The 25,867-nt window shown below is 39.7% G+C and overlaps 1 protein-coding gene across 10 annotated transcripts in view, besides 1 other annotated feature; it reads left to right on the forward strand.

Annotated features, from left to right (window-relative positions):
- Positions 1-25,867, forward strand: part of SYT9 (synaptotagmin 9) — a 230,266-nt gene that overhangs the window by 34,947 nt on the left and 169,452 nt on the right. The window lies entirely within an intron of this gene.
- Positions 1,312-1,813: an enhancer, noted in NCBI's record as "NANOG hESC enhancer chr11:7296267-7296768 (GRCh37/hg19 assembly coordinates)". NCBI's record gives its function as "activates a minimal SCP1, AML or CMV promoter by ChIP-STARR-seq in primed H9 embryonic stem cells {active_cell/tissue: H9 hESC(primed)}" and the evidence as "EXISTENCE:reporter gene assay evidence [ECO:0000049][PMID:30033119]".

The following is a 25,867-nucleotide window of genomic DNA, read 5'->3' on the forward strand; positions in this document are numbered from 1 at the left end:
ATTTCATTGAATAAAATAAAATTATTACTGGATTTATTTTAAAATCTTTGGAGTTTACAGCAAACTAACACAGGAACAGAAAACCAAACACTGCATGTTCTCACTCATAAGTGGGAGTTGAACAATGAGAACACATGGACACAGGGAGGGGAGCATCACACACCAGGGCCTGTCAGGGGGTGGGGGACAAGGGGAGGGAGAGCATTAGGACAAATACCTAATGTATGTAGGGCTTAAAACCTAGATGACAGGTTGATAGGTGCAGCAAACCACCATGGCACATGTATACCTATGTAACAAATCTGCACGTTCTGCACATGTATCCCAGAACTTAAAGTAAAACAAACAAAAAATGTTTAGAGTTTATATTTATTTCTGGCTTGTATGCTGTTTGAGATAAAGTCTTGTGACAAGTTTATTACCTGCTGTGCTATGTAGAACTGCCTTTGATTAGTCAGAGCCTGACTTTTCTTTTCCTTCCAGTGGAGCCCCCTCATTAAGGCATTTCAAGCTTAGTTGACTAAATTCATGTTTCTGTAATACACATCAGTCATGATTCTACACTCTTTCCTTATATCTGTGTGAAGTTCATCTTTTTTTTTTTTTTTTTTTTGACAGAGTCTTACTCTGTTGCCTAGGCTGCAGTGCAGTGGCACGATCTTGGCTCACTGCAACCTCTGCCTCCGGGTTCAAGCGATTCTCCTGCCTCAGCCTCCCGAGTAGCTGGGATTACAGGTGTGCACCACCATGCCCAGCTAATTTTTTGTATTTTCAGTAGAGATGGGGTTTCGCCATGTTGGCCAGGCTGGTCTCAAACTCCTGACCTCACGTGATCCACCCACCTCAGCCTCAGGAAGTGTTGGGATTATAGGCATGAGCCACTGTGCCTGGCCAAGTTCATGTTTTAATGATGTTAGTTTATTTAGTTAGTTTCTTCCTATACAGCTGGGCCCTTCTCTTCATCACTATGCAGGTCTTCCTTTTCTTCACTTCTCACCCAACCTGATGCATAGAAATGGACCTCAGCTTGAACTTTTGGAACTGATGCTGTATAGTATAGATGGAAGAATGAGGAGTTTTCCCTTACAGGATGCAGCAGCCACACATAAGGCCATCTGCTCAGAAAACCTAGCAGTGGGTCCCCAACCTCTTCCTCATGGCCACGTTCCTCAGTCAACAAGCATTATTTGAAGTTTTGGTTACAATGTTTTCCATCACACCTGATTCTTCACACAGATTTTGGGAGAGCTTCCTGGAAGCCACAACCCACTGGAGTGAGGAATGCTAGGTGATCTAGTATCTCCATCCTGGCCTTGTAAAGTTTGGGTTGTTGGTTGGAATTAGTTCTTGCACACCAAGACTGCACAGAGCCAGCTAGCAGAGTGTGCAGGGCCTCTGAGCCAGTTCTGGGTGTGCTCCTTGTCCACCAGCCCTGCTCCAGCAGATTCTCCCTGACTAGCCAGCTATGAACTTTGCCAGTGTAGTTATTCTCTCTACTACCTCTCCCCTCTCCAAATGGTGTCTTCCTCTTCACAGCCACACTGCTCATAAAATAGATTTCCTCCCCCACCTTCTCCAAACCACCTTAGTCCAATTCCCACACCCACCACTTCTCTGAGGCTGCTGTAACTACAGCCATCAATGACCTGCTAATTGCTAATCCCAGTGGACACATTTCAGTGGTTGGAATCCTGCTGTGTTTGAAACAGTGATTACTGCTTCCTGTTCTCTTGAATTTGCAACACCAAATCCCATTCTATTTTCTTTCATGGGTTTCTTTTCTTCTACTTGCCCCTTAAATGTTGGCATTTTTTATATTACTGTGACCCATTTCTTCTGTCACTTATGCATTTTTCCCAAGTTGTCCTCTCCAATCCTAGAACATACCAGCCTTCAATATACTGATAATTCAAGATTCATATTCCAGCCCAGACTGCTGAAGTTCAGACCTGTATATCTAGCCACCTCCTGGACATCTCCATTTGCATAGATGAAGGAGCCTCTAAATCAATGTGTCCACAACCCAAGTTCATTCTGGCCTTTCCACTTGCTGCTGTTCCTCCACCTGAAATGTTTTTCTCACAGGCCCCGCGTGGCTCACTGCTCACTTCATTTATCCTCTCTGTTCAGTCAGCACCTTCCCCAAAAGTCCCCATATGTGCCTTTTCCTTCCCTGGCTTTATTTCTCTTCAGATCATATGTGTCTGAATCTATATAATATTTGTTACTTGTTTATTGTTTGCGCCTCACCCCCAACTAGAATGTAAGCTCTATTTATCTGTCTTGTTCACTATTATGTTTGAGCCAATTTCTGGTGTCCAAATATTAAGTGAGTGAATACACCATCCCCCACCCCCAGACTGATTTCTGTATGTTTTATCTTCATGGGTGACACCAGTCCCACCCTCAGTCACTCAGGTTGGAAATTTGGAGTTATACTAGAAACTTCTTTTACCATCACCACATCCTCACTTTCCCATATCCAACAGTCACCAGTTCCCGCCAGTTTTATCTCGTAATAATTTCTCAGATCTGTCTTCTATCTCTGTCCCTATGATCACCTTATTTCCAGCCATCAGACCTCTCTTCTGTCTTATTGCACCTCTTAATGTGCTTCCTGCCTCAGTTTTTAACCACCCAAATCCAGCCTCAATGGAAGCCAGAGTGGTCTTTCTAAAAAGCAGATGTGACCCTGCTGTTTTCCTATGTGAAACTCTTCAGTGGGCCCATTCAACTATGGGATCAAGTCTAAGCTCTTTAGCATGACACGTGAGAATATGGTGGAATAAGGTGGAATGAATCTGGTGGAATAAGGTGCACCCCTTGCGTTAGACTAACTGCAGGGTGTGCCCCACAGTTTCCTGCCTCCATTCTTAAGCTGTCCCCTCAGCCTAAAATGATTGTCTTTCCCCTCTGCCTTCCCCCTCCTGGTGGATTCTCCCTCATCATTCTTTTAAGCATCAGTTTTGGGGTCACCTAAACTCCCTGTGCTCTTTTGCATTTTCCTTAGCACTGTACCTATACTTAAAACATTATCTGCCAGCCAGGCACAGTGGCACATGCCTATAATCCCAGCAATTTGGGAAGCCAAGGCGGGTGGATCACGAGGTCAGGTGTTCGAGACCAGCCTGGCCAACATAGCGAAACCTCATCTCTACTAAAAATACGAAAAAAAAAAAAATAGCTGGGTGTGGTGGCAGGCGCCTGTAATCCCAGCTACTCGGGAGGCTGAGGAAGGAGAATTGCTTGAACCTGGGAAGTGGAGGTTGCAGTGAGCCGAGATCGCGCCACTGCACTCCAGCCCAGGTGACAGTACGAGACTCTATCTCAAAAAACAAAAAACAAACAAACAAACAAACAAACATTATCTGCCATGTGTCTGCCTCCTTCATTAGATCAGATTGGAACTCACTGAGGGAAAGGACTGTGTATTATTTATCTTTTTATTCTCTTCATCTAACTCCATGACTGAAACATAGTGAGGATTTGATAAACGTTTGAATAAATGAAAGAATAATGAATGACCCATCGAGATAGATTTCTGGCTGAATTCTGGTCATTGTCATCAAGTTATGGCATAAAATTACATTTCCAAAATCTGAAAAATATTAGTGTAATCTGCAAAATGTGAATTCATTATGTGCTGTGTGTTACTGAACATTGCATTGTTGCTTTTCAGCAAGTGCTCATGTCTTACTTTCCCTGTTGTCCTATTAAGTTCAAAAGTCGACTTAACAAAATCTAAACAGAAAAAAGAGAATGGGGGAATAGGAACAAGAGAAGATTACATCCATTTTTTTTTGTCTTATGAATTTGAAGCATTTTCTCAAATGTGAAGAAAAGGGCACTTTTTCAGCAGTAAAGTAATTGTGTTTTTATTATAAAGTGTATTATGTTAGGCATGTGGGCAATATGACTCAATGAATAGTTCTTCAGGATTAGTGTATGCCTAGTTGAAACTTAATGCTCTTTCCCTCAGCATGCATGTAGGATCTGAATTTTCACTGTGAAAGCAAATGCTCCTGTTGGAGACCTTTATCATCAACTTGTTGGAATTCATGCCTAGAATATTTTAAGTTGAACAATTCTATCACAGTGGCATGCATAGATTGCTGAGAAAGGCACAGTGCTAATGATGCTGTAGACATCTTAAAAGCTAGGAATGCTCCATGTAATGTAGATGGCAGAGAAAATGAAGTGTGCCAGTCTGTTTTCTGTTGCTTATAACAAAATATCTGAAACTGAGTAATTTCTAAAGAAAAGGAATTTATTTTTTACAGTTATAGAGGCTGGAAAGTCCAAGGTTGAGAGGTCACATATGATGAGAATCTTCTTGCCAGTGGGAACTTTCTGAAGAGTCCCAAGGTGGTGTAAGGACCCAGAAATTTCTGATCTTCTTCTACATCTAATTGCCCTGGGTCGAGGCAGGGTATCACAGGGCAAGGGGGCTGAGCATGCTAATGTGTTAGCTCAGGCCTCTCTTCTTCTTATAAAGCAATCACTTCCCCTCCCATGATAACCTATTAATCCATTAGCCCATTAATCCATAAATAACAAATTCATTCATGAAGACAGAGCCCATATCATCCAATCACCTCTTTTAAAGGCCCCCACCTCTCAATACTACCAGATTGGTGATTAAGTTTCAACATGAGTTTTGGAGGAGACATTCAAACCATAGCAACCAATCCCAAACTGAGGTAAGTGAAGCTGCACAGTGGTTTTAAAACTGTTTTACTGAGCCCTAAGATTCTGCAACATTGTCTTGGGGCCACCTACAGGTGGACTTAAGAAGTGAAACTGAAGCTGCCCCTCATTCCCACTGCAAAGAGCAGTAACTCTGGTACCTGGTTTAAAGAGGGTGGTTCTTTATTACATTTTACTTGATATTTGACTTGATTTAGTTGAATATAACTGTTGTTGTGTTCTATAATACGGAGAAAATTTTGAATGAATAAAACTAGGTATAGTTTTAAGTAGCAAGATTCCGAGTAGCTTAAGAGGATTAAAAAACAAGGAAGATATTTTAGATTCTCACATTCTAATTCTTACAAGTGGAGAAGAAGGGGAGACTGCGTTAACTTGGAAACTAATACTGATGAGCACAAATGTAAAGGGTTATGAGCACACAAATGAAGGGTCCATGCACTACACCTAGGAACTTTAAGGAGGCATATTCTGTGAAGATATTTTCAGGAGTGCTGATACCCAGAAAGAATTGGTGTTTTGGAAACATCTAGAGAATAGTCAAAAATGTATGTTAATTTATGTTTGAATCAGGAAGGAAGATATCTCTCTGCCTAGGGAGAGGGAGTAATGATAACAGATGCCAGAAAACATCCAACAGAGGCAGGAGCAATGCCAGCAGATAAAGTTGGGGAGCTGGCCCAGTTCTCAACAGTGGAGGGTATGTGGACCCTAGAAACTCAAGGCTTGTGAGCTTGGTGTCCATCTCTGGCAAAGTCCTAAGCCAATTTAGCAGATGGTTTGAGAGCACTAAGGAAAGATGCTGGAGAGTTAGCTTAGTAAAACAAAGTCTTGGTAAACTTCCATGCTTCTCTTATTGATAGAGTCTGTCTTGACTTCAGCAATATTTTTATTGGGCAGTTTATGATAACCAATATGTCTTTTTTTCCGTTGAGAACAAAAAAACTGACTCAAGGAAAGAATAGGAGGGGTGAAGCTCATGCCAGAGAAGCAGGAAGATACTTCCTTATGGGCAGCTTGATGGAGCCACATAGAATCTGCTTAAGGCAGCGGGAAGCTTAGATAATCTACCAGCTCTAGGTGCAGAGTGTCCCCTAATACTGCATTTCCCCAACTGAGAACCATGACCACCTCCCGCCTTCAGAGATACTTTGGGGTATTTATTTAAAATGCCCCATCCAGAATCATGATCTCTGGAGGCATAGCCCAGGAATCTATACTTTTAACAAGCTTCCCAAATACTTACCAAGCACATATAAATTTTAGAACCGTTGCTTCAAAGATAAGATTATTTGCTGTGAGGAAAGCTACCCAGTTAGAGAAACAGAGAAAGTCTTTAGTTGTTTCATAAGCAGGTTCATTTTTTATATATGATTGTGACCCAGAAATTTCTGATCTTCCTCTACATCTAATTGCCCTGGGTCAAGCCCAACCCAAATGCCATCTGGTGACAGCCACTTATGCTGCAAAAGCAGAGCTGATGAGGCAAATCTTTTGAGCAGTAAAATGGGATTTTGCATCAGGTAAAGACCTTAGGTGAAGAGCAATGAGGCATACTGAAAGAAACTTAGTTCTACACAATTCCTTGAGAAACTCAGTCTCCATGCTGCCTGGATTGGGGGCAGGGATGTATCAGTACATCTGTAAACAACTAATTCTCCAGAATAGAAAAGGTATGCATAAATATACACGCATACGTTTATTTTAAGTGTTACTCATATAAATGCTGTGCGGTGCACAATTCATAATAAAATACACATTGCATTTTATTGATTACATTACAATTGATTCTCACAGAATGCTTTTCTTGATTTTTGTCAAACTCCTGTATCCATAGCAACCTTAGGTTGCAGCTGACAAATGAGTGTAGGCCCAACAAGCCTGTTGGTTGATAGCTTCATTTATATGAACAAGTAAGAGGAAAGTAAAACAATGACACATGTCAGAACTTCACTTATTCATCAATAATCTGAGCAACTTCTTGAATCAGATAATAGTTTTTTAATATTGGAAGAATATGTCCTCAATATTTTGTGCTGTTTACAAAGTAATGTCTACAGACAAGACACACTTTTCATCTGTTATTTACATTTTCTCCAGCACTATCGTAAGACTTTCATAAAACGTCACTTTCAGAAGACCTTAACAAAATAATAAATAAAACCTTGGTTTGTGGTGTTTGCAAGTTTTGTGGTATAAGTGCTCCCAGCCTGGCTGTTTTCAAGCTACCAATAAGATATTGCTGACCGTGGAGCTGGGAAGAGATGTGCAGTAGTGCATCAATATCTGGTATTTCCAGGTGGAGAAGAAGGGATACTATAGATGTAAGTACTATAGATGTAAGTAAGATACTATAGACGTAAGTGGAGAAGAAGAAGATACTAGAGATGTAAGTAACACTGAGAGCATAGACAATAAATTGTAGTTAAATGAGTAGGAAATGATAACTTTTGAGAATCATCTTTGAATATCACCTTTGACTTTTGAATATTACCTTTGTTTTCAGCATAGTTTATTGAATTTTACATTTATATAATTTAGTTTTTCATGGTGGCTGTGTTTAATAATCAGCTCTCAAAATTCCTGAAAATTTAAGTTGATTCTTATGAGCTTCTGTGAGCTGAGTCTAATTCACTACTGAATGGGCAGATTTTCTGAACTCACAGATATGTGACGGGGTTATATCCCTGCTTTTATGCAGGAGCATATGTATGATACTCAGGCACATTTCTATATTTGCATACAAATGCAGCTCCTCTAAACCAGAGCATAACAGTATCATGTCTGACAAATGTGTCCTGCCCCTGGGCATCACAATGAGAGGAATTCCTAAACAGATGAGATCAGATCCAATAGAACAGGTTTCCTCTGTCATGTCTGGGAAACTATTTATGACTCATACTCTTTGCCAGCTCTGTGTTTTGCATCAGTAGATATTCTGACATGTAAAGGTACCCCTCTCATGTTGCATCCTACTGATTTCAGCAAAACTGTTTTTGATACCTTGACACTTTCTACAAGCCCTTCAGAATACAGTGATGTTATGATATTACTGCTTTTTACATTTCCACTTCCTTTCTTCTACACCTGTTCTGTAAAAGGGTATTCAGTTTGCAATTAAAATTCGATGGCAGCCTAGCTGTGGCCATGAGAGTAGATTTTTGGAGCCATTTACACAAAGCCAGATATAGAATTTATTTGATGTGTAAAAATTTTTGGAGCTGAAAGTTTGAGACTATCTGCCACATAGAAAGATATGAGGATTTGAGCCACCACTTTTGTGTAAATTCTTATTAAAAACAGACAGTGCTGTGCAAGGTTGTTTCTTGGATAGAATTTTTGGATGGTAATAGAATAAGCTATATACTTCTAGTGCACAATTATTTTCTCTCTTCCTGTTTTCTCGCTGTTATGCTTGTAAGCAAATTGTTAAATAAGTTCATTCTGCTCCCCAAGAGCATTTCCAGAAGTGTCTTGGAACTTCCCACTGTAGGTACCTGGGCTCTATCAGTATTTTCTGTACTGACCTTTGTAATTATGACACAGGGGATACTTAAACAGGACTTTGCTTGCCAAACAAATATAAACACAAAATTGCTTTAAGTTGCTAACTGTTCTTCCTGCTGTGGACATTGGCCATGACCCAGCAACTTGGCTGCTATTTCAGCCATAAGAGATTTTCTGTAGGTCCTCAAATACTATCTCAAGTAAAAATTCTTATGGAGTCCACTCATTCCAGGTTAGGGTAAGAAAACTTTTCTCCTAATAATGTAATAAAATTTTACTTTATAAAATGAAAATAAGCAACATTCTTTCATATTATAAAGAACATAACATAAAACCAAATAATCTTTTGGCTGAGAGGAAATGCCAAACCCATTTCAGAACATTTATGTTATTTTTCCATGCTCTCTTCAAGCCAAGTTGATTGCATACAAATCTCCTAAGGGGATGTGCAACTGATTCCATGGTCCTGGCTCAGGGCAAAAAAAATGGAACCATGACTGAGGGGTTTTATAAAATATCCTTTGCCCAGGTAAATATGGAGGTGTGAGTTCACAGAGACAGTCAGGTAGACAGATGTCAGGTTAGGAACTCCAGGCTCCAAGGTGCTGATGACCAGCAGTACCTAATTACAGCTCCTCTAGTGTGCACCTCTCTGAGTACTGTGTGCACGCTTGCCAGCCTAGAGGTGTCTTCAGTGGCCATCGGGGTCCTCCAACCTGGAGTAGCCTGTAGGCAGCATGGTGGGAAGTCCCTGAGAGGAGAAACATTCTTAGGTGCTGTCCTGTGCTTTCTGGCAGTTGTTTCCCTTGAGACACAGCCCCTTTTGATCCCTTTATGGATCCCTGTGAGTCAGAATTTGGAATGTTTCAGCCTCCTAATTTAAAGCATGTTTTCTTTAAATTACATTTAACTTCTCTACATTTTATAATTTTTAATAATAATTATCCAAGTAATATATGCACCGTGTTAAAACACACACACACACACGCACACACACACACACACATTACCAAAGGAGAGAGAGAAACAGAGATTGAGAGAGAGAGAGAGAAAGCTTTAATTTAGAATGGACCTGTGGGTCCACTCCCAGAGGCAACCATTTTTATTTACCCTTTTCTAGTTTTAGGTTTCTGATAATTCCCACTATTCTGTAAATAATGTACTTTAATTTTTGGTTTACCAACTTTAGATTATATATGTATGTGTGTGTATATATATATATATATACACACACACACACACACAGCCTAACATATATATTTATATATATGTTATATATGTTAAGCTGAATACTTACTAAGAAGCAGCTATTTTTGCTCCCAAACTGAATCAAATGCTTTGTAAGACTCAGTGAAGTTATTTTTAAAAATGCTGGTAAATTAGGATGGAGAAAAACTGTGAAAGATTGAAGACAGTGGTAAAAACCTAGAAGGATTTTCTTCTCAGATTGCTCCACAAATATTTTTAATTTCTTATTCTACTTTAAGGAAATGCAAGTTGAACACACAGACAAAACTGCATTATGGGTATTTTTTTATGTAAAAAGCCAACACAAAAATATAATCAGAGGACCCATATTCAAAGAAAAGAACATTACCCTTTGTCAAAAGCTCAGTTAATGTTTTCAGTAAAAATAAAATATTTACATTAAAATAAAATAAGGTTTAAGCGGAGGCAGTTTTTGGTTTAACTGACTTTTTCAATTAACTGATCCCAATCGCATTAGCCAAGAAGACTTTTTAATATTAGAGTACAGTGGTTAAGAGTAGCCTTCAGCAAATTATTTCACCTTTCTGTGCCTAGATTCTTTATCTGTTAATTTGTAGTAATCATGGGTTTTCATGATAATCAATGAATTGCCTTATCACATCATTGACACTTGTTAGGAACTCGAATGTGGAGCTATTGTTATTGCTATTACAATATTGTAATTTTGTAAAAAAATTAGTAACTACCCAGCCTTGAAGTGTGATTGGACCCTCCAAAAAGGCAACACAGTTTTATGCTAATCTCTTGCCACTTGAAGATTTCTGTTCCTTGCATCTAAAGTCTTCACTTATCTCCATCAATTATTCAAAATCTTGTCATGTTCTAATTGACTTGGTATTTGGCTATTAACTTTCCTTTATGGTATTATGTGTTTCTTAGGCTATTTTATAAGATTTTGTATCATAAAATACTTAGGATATTTCATAAACAAGGAAAGCATCTTTTAAATAAAAGCGTATTTCTTCACTATATTGTTAAGTATATCCAGCCTCTTGATCATACATTTTGCATTGAGAAGCCAACTTTCTTATTTTTGACAGTATTCTTCTAGAAAGATACTCTTTAAACCTGCACAGAGCTGAGCCTCAAGTTACTGCCACTTGAAGGTTAGGTACATTAGTTTCCCTACTTTCTCTTTCTTGAATTCCTTTTTCCTTAATTAGTTGGAGTACATTCTCAAGTAAATTTTTCAAAAGAGAAACATGGTATGTAAATGTTGAGCCCTTTACATTTCTAAAAATGCTCTTATTTTGTCCTGATATTAAATAGTGATTTGGCTAAGCATACATTCTACAATGAAAATCATGTTCTCTTAGTATATTAAAGGGATTGTTTCATAGGCTTCTAGCATTCTAGATTCCTTAAGAGAAGTCTGAAGGCAGTCTGCTTCTAGATCTCTTTATAGTCTTCTCTCTCACCTTGAAGTTCTGATATTTCATAGCAGTGTGTCTGGGTGTGCTCTCTTTTTCATTCATCTTTCTCAGCATTTCCTAGGACAGTTAATAAAAACAAGATGTCTTTCATTCTGGGAAATGTTATTTTTTTTGCCAATTTCTTCCCCTCCATTGTCTGTTTTCTCTTCAGGGAGCCTTCTAGGTTAGTCTTCTATGTTTACTTGCTCCTTTATTGCTTTATCTCTCTTTGCTTCATATTCTTAGTGTCTTCAAAGACAAAAGTTTACCTCAGAGTACTTTAGTATGGGTGAACCTTTTGCTCCCTCCCCTACTTCTCCATAATTTTTTCTCTTTACAAGACACATTCACCATTATTTTTCACCCACTCTATCACCTAACTATGGAGTTTGGGCATTGAGAAACAAACAAACAAAAACTCAGCATGAGTTTACCTGGACCATTGGGCTTTATTTCCACCTCCCTAAGACACCGAGCTATCCCTAGTACCTATTTCATAGGAATTTGGGAGCTAAAGATGAGGCAGGATTCTTTCTCCTTTCCATGACTGTATTAGTCTGTTCTCATGCTGCTGTGAAGAAATACCCAAGACTGGGTTATTTATAAGGGGAAGAAGTTTAATTGACTCACAGTTCCACAGGGCTGGGGAGGCCTCAGGAAACTTACAATCATGGCAGAAAGGGAAGCAAACGTGTCCTTCTTCACATGGAAGCAGCAAGAAGAAGTGCAGAGTAAAGCAAGAGAAAAGTCCTTTATAAAACCATCAGATCTTCTGAGAACCCACTATCATGAGAACAGCATGGAGGTAACTGCCCCATAATTCAATTACCTCCCACCAGTCCCTCCCATGACACATGGGGATTATGGGAACTATGATTCAAGATGAGATTTGGGTGGGGACACAGAGCCAAACCATATCATTCCAACCCTGGCCCCTCCCAAATCTCATGGCCTCATATTTCAAAACACAATCATGCCCTTCCAACAGTTCCCTAAAATCTTAACTCATTCCAGCATTAACCCAAAAGTCCAAGTCCAAATCTCATCTGAGACAAAGCAAGTCCCTTCTGCCTTTGAGCCTGTAAAATCTAAAGCAAGTTAGTGACTTGCTAGATACAATGGGGTCCAGGCATTGGGAAAATACACCCATTTCAAATGGGAGAAATTGGCCAAAACAAAGGGGCTACAGGCCCTATGCAAGTCTGAAATCCAACAGGGCTGTCATTAAACCTTAAAGTTCCAAAATGATCTTATTTAACTCCATATTTCACAGGTCATGCTGATGCAAGAGGTGGATTCCCACAGCCTTGGGAGCTCCACCCCTGTGGCTTTGCAGGGGACAGCCCCCTTCCTAGCTGCTTTCACGGGCAGGTGTTTAGTGCCTGTGGCTTTTCCAGGCACATGGTGCAAGCCATCAGAGGAGCTATCCTTCTGGGGTCTGGAGGATGGTGGCCCTCTTCTCACAGATCCACTAGGCAGTGTCCCAGTGGGGACTCTGTGTGAGGGCTTTAACCCCACATTTCCCTTCTGTACTTCCCTAGCAGAGGTTCTCCATGAGGGCTCCACCCCTGAAGCAAACTTCTGCCTGGACATGCAGACATTTCCATATATCCTCTGAAATCCCATGTCTTCTGCACACCCATAGGACCAACACCACATGGAAGCTGCCAAGGCTTGGGGCTGGCACCCTCTGAAGCAATGTCCTGAGCTATACCTTGGCCTCTTTTAGCCATGGCTGGAGCAGCTGAGATGCAGGGCACCAAGTCCTGAGGCTGCACACAGCAGGGGGGGCCCAGGACCTGGCCCAGGAAACCATTTTTCCCTCCCAGGCCTCAAGGCCTGTGATGGAAGGGACTGCCATAAAGGTCTCTGACATGCCTTGGAGACATTTTCCTCATTGTGTTCATGATTAACATTTGGCTTCTTGTTACTTACGCAAATTTCTGCAGCCAGCTTGAATTTCTCCCCAGAAAATGGCTTTTTCTTTTCTATCATATTGTCAGGCTGCAAATTTTCCAAACTTTTATGCTCTGCTTCCTCTTGAACACTTCGCCACTTAGATGTTTATTCCACCAGATACCCTAAATTATCTCTTTCTAGTTCAAAGTTCCAGAGCTTTCTGGGGCAGGGGCAAAATGCTGCCAGTCTCTTTGCATAGCAAGAGTGATCTTTACTCCAGTTTCCAACAAGTTCCCCGTCTCTATCTAAGACCACCTCAGCCTGGACTTCATTGTCCACATCACTATCAGCATTTTGGTCAAAACCATTCAACAAGTCTCCAGGAAGTTCCAAACTTTCCCACATCTTCCTGTCTTCTTCTGAGCCCTCCAAACTCTTCCAACTGCTGCCTGTTACCCAGTTCCAAAGTCGCTTTTATATTTTCACATATCTTTATAGCAGCACCTCACTCTCTGCGGTACCAATTTACCGTGATAGTCCATTCTCATGCTGCCATGAAGAAATACCCAAGACTGGGTAATTTATAAAGGAAAGAGGTTTAATTGACCCACAGTTCTGCAGGGCTGGGGAGGCCTCAGCAAACTTACAATCATGGCAGAAGGGGAAGCAACCACGCCTTTCTTCACATGGCAGCAGCAAGAAGTGCAGAGTGAAGGGGGGAAAAGCCCCTTATAAAACCATCGGATCTCTTGAGAACTCACTCTCTATCACAAGAACAGCATGGAGGTAACCACCCCCATGATTCAATTACTTCCCACTGGGTCACTCCCATGATATGTGGGGATTATGGGAACTACAATTCAACATAAGATTTGGGTGGGGACACAGAGCCAAACCATATCAATGCCCATATTAAATTAGTGGCTATTTTTATAAGTCCTTGAGTGAAAAGTTCAGAACCCTGACCAACATCAGTCTCAGCAATGTCTACTTCTTCTCAAGACAACATTAAGTAATAATTGGATATTATCACCCACACTGGTTTCTCAGCTCACTAGTGGTTGTGGTCTCTATCCTTAGTTATTCAAAGGCCACAGTAAAAATTGAGTTACTCACTATCTTAGAAGGCGAGAAGGCATTCTCTCATGCTGAAGTTTCTTACTCATAACCTGGCTATTGCGTCTTCCTCTTGAGATAATCTTCATCCCTTTTTTATGACATGATAAATAATGATGACTTTTAACTGCAACTTTTTCTTTCTTATTTTGGGACAATGAGATAATGGCTCTCTTCTAGCTTGTAACAAATTATGCAGCAGCAAACATCTAGGAATTCCCAAGACAATATGGAATTTATGAAAAGACAACCAAACACCTTATGTTTTTATTGTTTCCTTATTATATATTTATAAGTTTGCTGAAGGAAGTGGCATTATTTAAGCCCTGTGCACCATGTTTTCCAAGTGATAAATAGCAAGCTATGTGTTCCCAGTAGAGAGAAGCATCATAACGTCATGGCAGATGGCAGAGATGCTCCCTACACTTAGCTTTATAGGATTATCCAAGGGTCTTCTGACACAGACTCCTAGAGGCACAATAGTGGGAAATAAGTATGTAACTGTCAGGGGCCTGGGAAACCCTGGGAGGGACCCCAGACTCTTGAGGTGGAGGGGCAGTACTCCATAGAAGTACTTTGACAGAAGGGTTTGAAAGGGACTATGTACCTGGCTATTGTTGGTATTTGGTAAAACTATGGCATTATATGTATTTGTAAAAAAAAAAAAACTCTTCATCTACCTTCCCCTTCCTTAGTTGATTTTCTTCTCTTATATTTTTATGATAATGTCTCATCCTTTCTAATACCTCTTATTTCTGTTCCATTTATTATTATCTAACCCAAATATCTTTCAGAACATCACCCAAATGTCTTCCAGAACTTCATGCCCTTTTGGGCCTGATACATTAGCACTGGATATCTAGGCCTACTGGATCATTACCCCTTATCTGTCCACAGATAGGAAGGACCTCTGTCCTACTACTTCTTTTGTTTTCCTGTGAGTCCCCCATTGGGGATATGGTGGAGAATAACATCTTACATAAAATGAGCCATTTTTTTTGGCTTTGCTGTCTTTCATCTGAGCCTACTGCATTTGTCCTCCTTCTCATTTATACTTGTTCTTACTATTTCTGTCTCCTGATGCTGCTCCTGTTTTCTTTGCCTTGTTGTCTGCTAACCTCTGTTCTGTCCATAGACCACTGTCTGATCTCCCACTAGTGATGCAGCCTCAATTTCTTCCACTCTTTCAGGTGTGAGAACCCTGCTCTCTCTATGGCTGCTCTTTGGAGTCTTCATTATTCCTGTCTCCAGTGCTCACATTTCTGGTATTTAGGGAGGCACTTCTATCTCAAGCCCAGCTTTTTATAGAGAGTGTCTCATGGCAATGCTGCTTGGACCCCTGGTGATACAGGATGCTGATGGATGCCCAGAAAAGTGTGAAAAGTTCTGTGCATCCTCAGGAGAGCAAATTTCCATCTAGGGCCAGAGGATCTGGAAAATGTTAGTAAAACACCTATTTGTAGCCCTCTTTCCTGCCTCAGTCTCCAGAGCATCATTTGAGATGTGCTGCAGACTCCCCTCTTTCCTCAGTATTTGTTCAGGAGCTGCCTGAGCGCTCTGGCTCCTGTTCTTCCATATGTACCTTTGCAAGGCAAAGATCCTATCTAGGGACCAGATTTCAGTAAAATGAGACAACTTGGTTTATCATAGAAACAGAAAATAGACCAGTGGTTACCAGGGTCTGGAGGAGGGAGTTAGTATTTAATAGGTACAGAGTTTCAGCATGGGATGGTGAAAATGTTCTGGAGATGGATAGTGGATCACCACTACCACAGCACAACAGGATAAATGTAGTTAATTACCACTGAACTATACTTTAAAATGGTTAAAATGGTAAATTTGATGTTATGTATATTTTGCTACAATTTTTAAAAACATGAATAAAAAACTCTACTTGGTTTAAAGAGAAGTGAAGATTACAGAAATGTCTTAGGAAAAACAACACTGCCTGCTCATAGCTATAGCTCGGTCCACTGCCTGTTATGCAGAATTTCTGTAACTCAGAGAGGGCAGGCCTGAGGAGAACATTTTTGAAAAGAATTGGTATTCTTTGTATCTTCTAGTTTGATTTAAGAGTAAACTGTGTTGTAATCTTAAGTATTATTTTTCTTTATTGATCAATGATTTTTAGAACAATTACTACATTTCTTGGTCATATGGCATTGTTAATAATCACTCTAATGAGTAAATGCCAATTGCTATGCATGACTACTGATAAAAATTAACAATTTAGAAGAAGCCATCTTATTTTAGTAGCATGAATTATTTGCTAAAAGGAAATTGACTTCAAATCATATTATTTGTAGAAAGCTGACAGTTGAATACAAAGACACAATAGCTTATGCTTTTAACCAAATACTAATAGTCGAAACCTGACCATGCTTTCAGCACAGACAGATCCGTGATCTGGGGTGTAGAGGTGGGTTTCAGGTATAACAGTACAAGTAGTAAGGAGTTTTACATTGGAACAAAGTCTGTGCTTTTAACCACAGACAAGGGTTCAAGACAGACAAATGAGGAAAAAAATAGGGAAAATTTTGAACCAGGAGTCCACTCTCTATTCTGACACTAGGCAACCTTGTAGCTTGGAAGTATTTCTCAGGAGAGACTCTTTTAAAGTTAATATTGACCATAGAAGCAAGACTATTTGGAACTATCATCAGGCACTAAGAACTTCTGAAGATTCATTTCCCTGAAACAGTCTGGATGGGCCACTCCAGCCCCAGTTATATAATACCTCGATGAGCAGCAGCTCAATACAACATGTTGTGAGGTTAATTTAATACATGATGCTTGTCCCAGAACCAATGCTCCTTCTACTATACTGCTCTGCCTGCGTGGAGTCTTAAATGTTTAGAGAAGCATGAAACACTGTATCATTTTCAATCATGATGAAAATGTAATCTTAATGCCTATTGTATATGTATATATACTTAAACACACAGCTTCTTTGCCAATTCTTTTTCCTAAATCACATTTTTAGTGGAGTAAGGAATAGTTATAAAATAGAAATGTTATGTAGCTTAGAATTTTGTAACTCATTAAATTTGAGTTCCTCTGGTGTGGCAGGTATCTTGCTAAGTTGTAGGAGACACTTTAGAGATAGATTTTCTCACACAATTTGAGAATATGAGATCTGGAAGCCCCTTAATATATAAAAGCTCATCTCATTTTGTATGTTAGGAAACAACTCAGTCTACAGTGAATCATTCTGAGTCCCAGTGGAAACGGGTGATAGTCAAACTAGGTAATTTGAGGAGAGTTTAGTACAGGAACATATAACAAAGATATGGTCAGGATTCAAGGAAAGGATCAAAGGATAGTGCAATACTCCAGGGCTAGTAATAGTAGGGAGCCATTGCTATCCACAGGCCTGAAAGAACCCAAAAAAAAGAGCTGTGGCTTTTAGTAGAGGGACACATGCAATGGGGTGACTTAGCGGGAAGAAAGTTGGAGGAATAAATGCTATAACTTCACTCATCTGCCACCCTCCAATATCCCTCTAGGGCCTCCTTTTGGTTGAACTCAACAGAATCCAAATGCAAAGGAATCCCTTATTATAGTCCATGTAGGTCAGCCTCACAGAGCCCAAAGCTGGGAAGAGAGTGGAGGAGAGTAGATTTGCAATGGTAAATGGAACTTCCATAGTTCCCTACTGAAAGACTTAAAATGCAAATGTTAGGACATGGTTTCAGTATTCATCAGATGTTGGAAGAGAGTCTTTGACTCTAAAGGGCAGCACATATAAATGCTGTGTTATTTGAGTACAGGATATTTTAAGTTTCTAATTTGAAAGAGAAAATATTGTTTTACAATCATAGAATTATAAACTGAAATGCCGAGAACCTGAGCAGCCTGCAGATACTCACACACAAAATACATTGGCCCATTGCTCCCAACAGCTCACCAGGACTCACCAGGGGCTCTGCTCCTTCTTTCAAGAACTATGAGAAGGCTCTAGGGAGTGTCTCACATGTGTTTAAAAACAAGTCTGCACCCAATCTCCAAGTCATTTTCTCATATATCCTGTGTCTTGCTCAACTGCTGTGCTCTGGGGAAAAAAAAAAAAATCTCCTCGTGTAACTCTCTTCATGCCAACAGAAGCCTGGAAGTCTTCTGCCCATACCAACATAAGTACAGCTAGCAGACAGCATGTATGCAGTTCTGCTCTCTAAACACATGCATGGCCATGTGTTTAAGGATCAAGGCCTTGTCCTGAAGGTGTCCAGCTATACCTGAGGAAGGCCAGGAAGGGAAGTGTGCCTAATCCTGGGGTTTGGAGCAAGGACAAACATCCCAATATTGCACCATGCCTTGTGTAGGAAGGTGAAGGTCAAATAGAAGGGAGAGGCAAGACTGAGTGTGGCTTTCCAATCAATCAAAAAACTCACTTCTTGGAATGGAGAAGTGAGGGGTGAGAGAAGTGAGCAGGAGCATTTAGGGAAAAGTCACTTCTCATGGAAGGCAAAAATGGGAAGAAACTTTCCCACATTATATATTGCTTTATGAGATTTTTCTAAATGCTCATTCACAAAGGTGATTATAAGCAGCCTTTTGGTCTTGTTCCACAGGGTAGATGAGAGGTTAAAACATGAATTTGATCAAAGCAAGACAAGATCTGGCCAAGGAAATGACATCCACTGAAGAAGTGTGGAAAAGGGTCCTGTGGGAAGTGTAAAGATTTGAGCCAATACAGTAGTGCCAAGCTTAAAAAGAATTTCAGCCAACACTATGAAAGCACTGTGACAGGTTTTATACAGATGCAAGTGCATAGCCAGGCTAGGAGGAATCTCTTCCCCCATTGTAAAGGTGAGAAATGGCCCAGGAGAGGGTGCAGGCGGCCCAAAGTCTCACAGCAGGCCACAAAGCTGGTCTCCATTTCCTGAATCCCATTCCCCTCCAACTCCACACAGCCCTACAGGGCAGGTTGGGATCCCACTTCCTGTGGACACACCAGAGGGTTGTTGACCTCTTTGGCCTGTCCCCAGTCCCTACATGTTTTTGAGTTTCGTTTCACAGTTCTTTTCAGCAAAAAGTCTCAATGGTCTAAAACTCTGCACATCAGATTTTCTGTAATTTCACAAGAATCCTAGCACATCTGAGTGTTTCCATTTACACTGCACAGGCCAGAATCCAATGGTGTAGAAAACATTGTAGATTTTGCAAGCACTTCCAATTATGTGGGTGTAAAATATTTTTAAGTAGATTTTCCCCCAATTAAATAATTTCTGGAGCAATCGAGTAAAAAGAAAGCAGAAACCCAGTAGCAAACCTAATAATGATTCCTGAACCTTCCTGTTAGGCAGCAAGTGGGGACTCAGGTGCAACAGGGTTATGGACACAAGAACTTAAATCTGGCTCTTAGGGTATATGGCTCCAGGCTGTCAGTGTCTAGCTTCAGCACCCCTGCCCCATCCGGGCAATGCAGGGGTGGTGATGCCAGTGTGAAGAGGAACTGGTCACGCTGATGAGACAGCACTTTGCAAATAGAAGGTATAACAGAAAGTGTTCTCTCAATGCTAATTTTAGGCCAGCTCCTTAGTTAACATAGGCAGAATCATCTGGGCAGCCTTCTGAGGAAGGAATCAGAGAGCCAGAAACAGTCATATTTCAGATGTTCTTCCCTCTGTGTCAGTCACAAAAAAAAATTGCATTTAATGCCATTTGCCAATTTCCATGTTCCAATTCATTTTACTAGCCCTCAAACTTCTTATATTTAAGGCAGCAGAGTGCTCTGTTTACCTGGCTCAGTGTCTTAAAAATGGTATGGCCCTGCAGACCCAAGTTAATGCTCCTTAATCCTTGCAATTTTCACCATGAATCAGAGCTAAGAGAGCCACATACATGTCTGCTGCAAGAATGAAAAGCAGGAATGGCCCTAAGTTTTAGCCTTCAGTTAATTAGTACTCACTGACTTATGGTCACTAATGAGAAGTATTATAGTGGTTTTCGTCTTAGATACAGACATTGTTGTGTACTGCAAGTCATATGGCAGTTTCAGAAGAACCACATAATATGAGAGCTATGCCCAAACCTGTTGTGATAGAGGAAGATCACTGAGGGGCAGTGACCCAAGGTCACAAAATATAAATGATGGCAAAGCTGGTCTTAGGTCACTTGGAATATACAAGCTGTTTCCCAGGGACACCATGTAAAGCTCAGCAAGTTGTGCCCTGTGCAACTTGCATGGCCATAGAAAGAAGCCCTCACTTTCTCTTTCTCCTGCTGAAGTCTTTTGGCCCCATGACAGATGACCTGGGTTTTATATTTGTATAAGAGAAGTAGTAATAAGTAGGATTTGGCTCACTCCTCATCTATGGTGTCTAAGTCTATTTGGGCTACTATAACAGAATGCAATGGACTAGATGGCTTATAAACAGTAGAAAATTATTTCTCACAGTTCTGGAGACTGGAAAATTCAAAACCAAGGCACCAGCATATTTTCTGTGTCCTCATATGGTGGAAGGAGTGAGGGAACTCTCTTAAGTCTCTTTTATAAGGATGCTTATCCCATTCATGAGGGCTTCACCTTCATTACTTAATCATCTCCCAAAGGCTCCACCTCCTAATACCATTATATTGGATGTTGGGATCTCAACATATGAATTTGGGGGGGACACAAGCATTAAATCTATATCATTCCACTGCTAGCCACCCAAAATCTATGTCCTTCTTAACTGCAAACTACATTCATTACATCCCTAAAGCCCCAAAAGTTTTACCTCATTCCAGCATTAACTCTAAAGTCTAAAATCCAGTCTCATCTAAATATTATCTAAATTAAATATGGATGAGACTTAAAATATGATTTATCCTGAGGCAAATTGCTCTTCCAGCTGTGAACCTGTGAAACCAAACAAGTTATGTGCTTCCAAATACAATGGTGAAAAGGCATAGGATGGACATTTCCATTCCAAAATGGAGAAACAGAAAAGAAGAAAGAGGTAACAGGTCCTGGGTAAGTCCAAAGTATAAGGCAAACTCCATGAGGTCCTAAGGCTCAAAAATAATCCTCTTTGGCTTAATATTCTGCCCCCCAGGCTCACTGGGACTGAGGGCCTGCCTGGGGCTGTGGCTCTGCCCCAGCTGCTTTGCCACATGGCCCACACACCCACACATCTGGGCAGCCCTTTCCCCATGGTTCTCAGTTCAGTGGGGCCATTTGGCCTATTGAAAGGAAGACAATTGCCATCCCTTTTGAAACCAAGGAGGCAGCCCTGATGATCTGTGAGTCTTCTTCAGGATTCTTGATAAATAGTGAATGTTCTCAGCTGAATAGCATTGTGGTCCCATCCTGTAAAATCCAAATCTGACAGCCTTCCTTCGTTCCTTCTCTTTTCCTTCCCCTTTGGTTCAAATTGGCAGTTTCTCTGCTGGGGTGGATGATTAAGTTTGTGGTTCATACCTATACTAATCTCTTAAATAGTCAGTTGGCCACACTGTTAGTGTTCTCTTCCAAACGTGGGTTCTCATTTTTTGCAATGTGGATAGACTGAGAATTTTCTAAATCTACAAGTTCTCATTCTGTTTTGCTTAACAATTCTGTCTTTAAGTCATTCTGTCTTTCATTTTACTATAAGCAGCTAGGAGGAGCCAAGCTGCACCTTCAAAACTTTGGTTAGAAATAGCTTCAGCTAAATATCCCGTTTCATTGCTCCCAACTAAATATCCTGTTTCATTGCTCCCAAGTTCTACCTTACACAAAACAGCAGAACATAAACACAATTCAGCAAAGTTATTTGCCTTTTTATAACAAGGATCACCTTTCTTCCAGTTTCTAATAATATGTTCTTCATTCCTCTCTGAGACTTTATCAGAATGGTCTTTACTGTTCATATACTACCAACATTCTGGTCATGGGCACATAAGTATTCTGCAAGAAGCTTGAGGCTTTCTCTACAGCTCTCCTCTTTTCTTTCTGAGCCTGCACCAGAATTGCTCTTAATGGTCCATTCATGGCAGTGTAAGCTTTTTCAAGCATGCACCTCAAAATTCTTCCAGTTTCTACCCATTACATAATTTCAAAACTGCTTTCATATTTTAGGTATTTATTTGTTTCAACAGCACCCCCATTTCTTGGTATCAATTTCTGTGTCTTATGAAAAGGCCTCTCTGAACTCCATGTATTGGTTTATGTATGCCTGACTTCTAGGCTATAGTAGTACTCTATAAATTGCAACTAGCACTCTTGAAATTTTCTTGATTAGTAGTTCCTTGAGGGCAAGGATTCGTTTTATTTATTTTATATCCCTAATTCAATACTTAGCAAATATCAGGTACTCAATAGGAGCTCCTTCTCTTGTCCTCAGTAATTCAGTTCAATAAGCACCTTTTGAGCACCTGACATTGGTTTGATGCCAGGCCATTTTTTAAAGCTGCAGGAAGCCTCAGTATTTAGTAACCAAGGTGATTATTTATTTGCAATAAGTCTGATATGGAGCAGCCAAATCCTGAGATACCTCATGAAAAAAACAGAAACAATAACTTACATTCAGTGAGCACTTCTACCTTCCTAAATATTCACTAAACCCCTAAGAGATAGGTACTATTATTATCCCAATGTTACTTTGACAAGACAAGATACAGAAAATTTATCTATGGTTACACAATGTTAAAATGCATATCTTGACTGTATAATTCTATAACCTGTGTTTACAGCTACTGTGCTATGGTGCCTGAAGTATAATTAAATAACAATGTTTTGGCAATATTGCATTTCCCAGACAACTTAAGTTCAATCATTTAAACAAAAAGTATCTGATTTAAACTAGAATCTATTACATGCTTCTTATTCAAGATGTTGCAGGATCACCACTCAGGATGCCCTCTGGCCTGTTGAGGTGTGTATGGATCTAAGTTCTCCTTCACTGGATAATTCCAGAATGTTATGATGCTTGAACTCAACAATTTCTCCTCCTTCCTCTCCTCTTCTTCCTCCTTCTTCTTCCTGTGTCTCTTTCTTTTTATTTAAATATACTTTAATTTTTAGAGAAGTTTTAGTTTCACAGGAATATTATCTTTTTAAATTGCAAAAGAGAGACACATTCATTTTATAAAGTTTAAAAATACAGAAAATAAGATATTAAATAAAGGCTTTGTATTTACGTGAAAGGGATATTGATGAGGTAATTGTGGCATGAATTGTTCTGGATTATCAGTAAGATTTCATTGTGTTCATTCTTAATACAATGTTTCCTCATTGGTTCAGCAAAATCTGAAACACTTAACATCAGAGCTGTCTGGTCCCACCTGTTTCCACTCTCTAATTACATTACCACCTTCCCTACAAAGCACCATTGATATCCTCAAGTTCTCCATGGGCTGATTTTCTAACTAAATTTCCCAGTATTATATTTATTAGCCCTCCCCCTGACACACACACAATCATCTGAGGATCAGGAAAATGTCTTGTATTCTGAACCACGGTGTGTGTGTGTGTGTGTGTGTGTGTGAGAGAGAGAGAGAGACAGAGAGAGAGAGAGAGAGAGAGAGATCAGATTTATTCAGAGTTGAGATGCTTGCTAAAAATGGAGACTCTGGACCTCACCCAAGACATATTAAATAAGAATATCTAAGATTGAAGTCAGAGATTCTGCCTACCAAAATATGTTTTATTTTTACTTTCCATCAGGAAATTGACAAGCATATTTAAAAGTAGAGAGGTTAATATAATAAACTCCATGTACTCAAAACTCAGTTTCAACAATTATCAATTCATAGTCAATGTTATTTTACCTATAATGTGAAGCAAATTGTGACATATCATTTGACTATTTCTGTATGTATTTAGAACACATAACCACAATACAATTATCATACCTAAAATAATTAACAATAATCTCTAATATTATTACATTTTTAGTTCAAAACATTTCTTGTTTTGTCAATGTGTCTTAGTTGTATGGTGTTTTAAACCCAATCACGTAGCTGGTCCAGGCCGGACTGGCCCCTCTCTAGGCCTGTTGCTCAGCTCGCATGCTGGGACTTCCTTCCACCAGTCTTCCAACTTCAGTACAGTTTCTCATGTACACTGTGTTTTCTGCCTCATTTTAATCTCCTACATTCATCCTCAAGTAACTTGCTATGATAAATACATTGAAAATAATTTTTCTGACTTGTTTTGAAAGATGACTTTTTCAGCCCTCATGCTTTATTGATATCATGTTTGGGTATAGAATTCTAGTTTGAATGTAATTTTTTCTCAGAAGTTTGCAGGCATTATTCAATTATCTATGGTTTCTGGTGAAAATTCTGATGCCACTATGGTTCTAATTTCTTTGTTATTTTTTCAAATTCATTTTGTCTCTTAAGTTTTGTGACTTTCTCTAATCTTCATGTTTTGAAATTTCACAATAATGCAATTAAGGTAGTGATATTTTATTATAGATGCTCAGCGGACCCCTATCAAGTTGTCCTTCGGTTCTAGGGGACTTTGTTTTTTTCTTTGATGACTCTCACCTTCATTCTCTCATTCTCTCTGTCCTCACTTCTGGAAAATTTAAATATTAGACCTCCTGGATAAATACTCTACATATCATATCTTTCATTTAAATTTCCCAAGTCTCTGTTTTGTTTGGTTTTGTTTTTCTCGGTCTACGTTCAGGTACCTGTTCCTTGACTTTGCTTTCTATTTAATTTTTCTTTTATTTCACCAATCACATTATTTTACTTCTAGATCAGATTGGATCTCAAGGGTGTCTTTTTCTGGTTACTGCTGCAGTCACAATTCTCACCCTTGGTTGCTGTTTTATAAATCTCGGTACATGAATTAATTTGCCTCTTGCATTACTGTAATTCCTTTCATGTCAGGGGCCATTTATTCTGATGGCTCAGCTTGGTTACCTCTTTTGAGGTGTTGATTTGCCCATTTCTTCCATGGTTTTTCTTTTTTTGTCTGTTTATGTGTTCTTCCTGGCCCTTCACAGTTTAGGAAGACAACCAATTTTTCTCATCCATGTGAGTATGTGGGCTTAAATTTTTTACTTGTTGGCCAGTAATCACCGTCACTCTAATACAGGTCCACTTTTTTTTTAATGCTTGCAGGAATCCTCTAGTATTACAGGTGTCCAGCTGGAATGTCTGCTGGGTCTAAGGTGTCATGGGTGTCTTCTATCTGGTGTGCTAGGGATGTTGCTACAATGCATCACGTCTTATGGCTAGAGCTAATAGCCAGTAGAAGAGGTTTCTGACAAACAGGCGTGATTACAGGGCATCTATGCCACATCTTCCCTGGGAAGAATACACTCCATGCAGCTCTGGGTATAGTTTTATGCACGGTCACCCCCAAAACAGCAATACTTCTAGGGATTTGGATCAGAACTGGTTTGCCATTTGCCTCTTTTCTTCCTTGAGGGACTATCTGGCTATTACCTCAACTCTTGGATAAAAGCACTAATTATGCTATTCCTGTTCTTTAGAAAAATTATGTCACGACTATTTTTAATGTCATATATTTTTCAATTTTTAAAATGAGATATACCATAAATGACAATAATATATCTCATGAACACATGTAAAAATTAATAATAAAACAAATGGTCATGTTTCTACCACCTAACTTAAGAAATAACATCTTGTGATTCTAAGCTGATGCTCCCTCTCCATTTTTGGAGGTCATGGGTCTGAGGTGGGAAGTATGGCCTTAGTGATTCCAAAGTAGCTTTCTAGCACCTCTTTCTGAAAAAAACAAGAGAAAGGTAGAAATGTACTATCTAGAAGGCATACTCAGCTATTTCTAAACAGAAGTCTAGACAATTATGCTTGGTGTCTGGTGTGGCTGTGTAGGTCACTATTGGTGTTTCCTATAGGCATTTCTCTCTGGACCACTGCTAACTCACACAGCACCTTTGTGTAAATCAGAAAAAAAGCCACTCCTGCCATTTGCTACAATTTAAAAAATAACAATATGCACAACAATCTGTAATGACTATGACTGTAACTGGTGCCCCCTAGAGTTT

This window comes from Homo sapiens, chromosome 11 (genome assembly GCF_000001405.40).
Source record: "Homo sapiens chromosome 11, GRCh38.p14 Primary Assembly".
Lineage (NCBI taxonomy): Eukaryota > Metazoa > Chordata > Mammalia > Primates > Hominidae > Homo > Homo sapiens.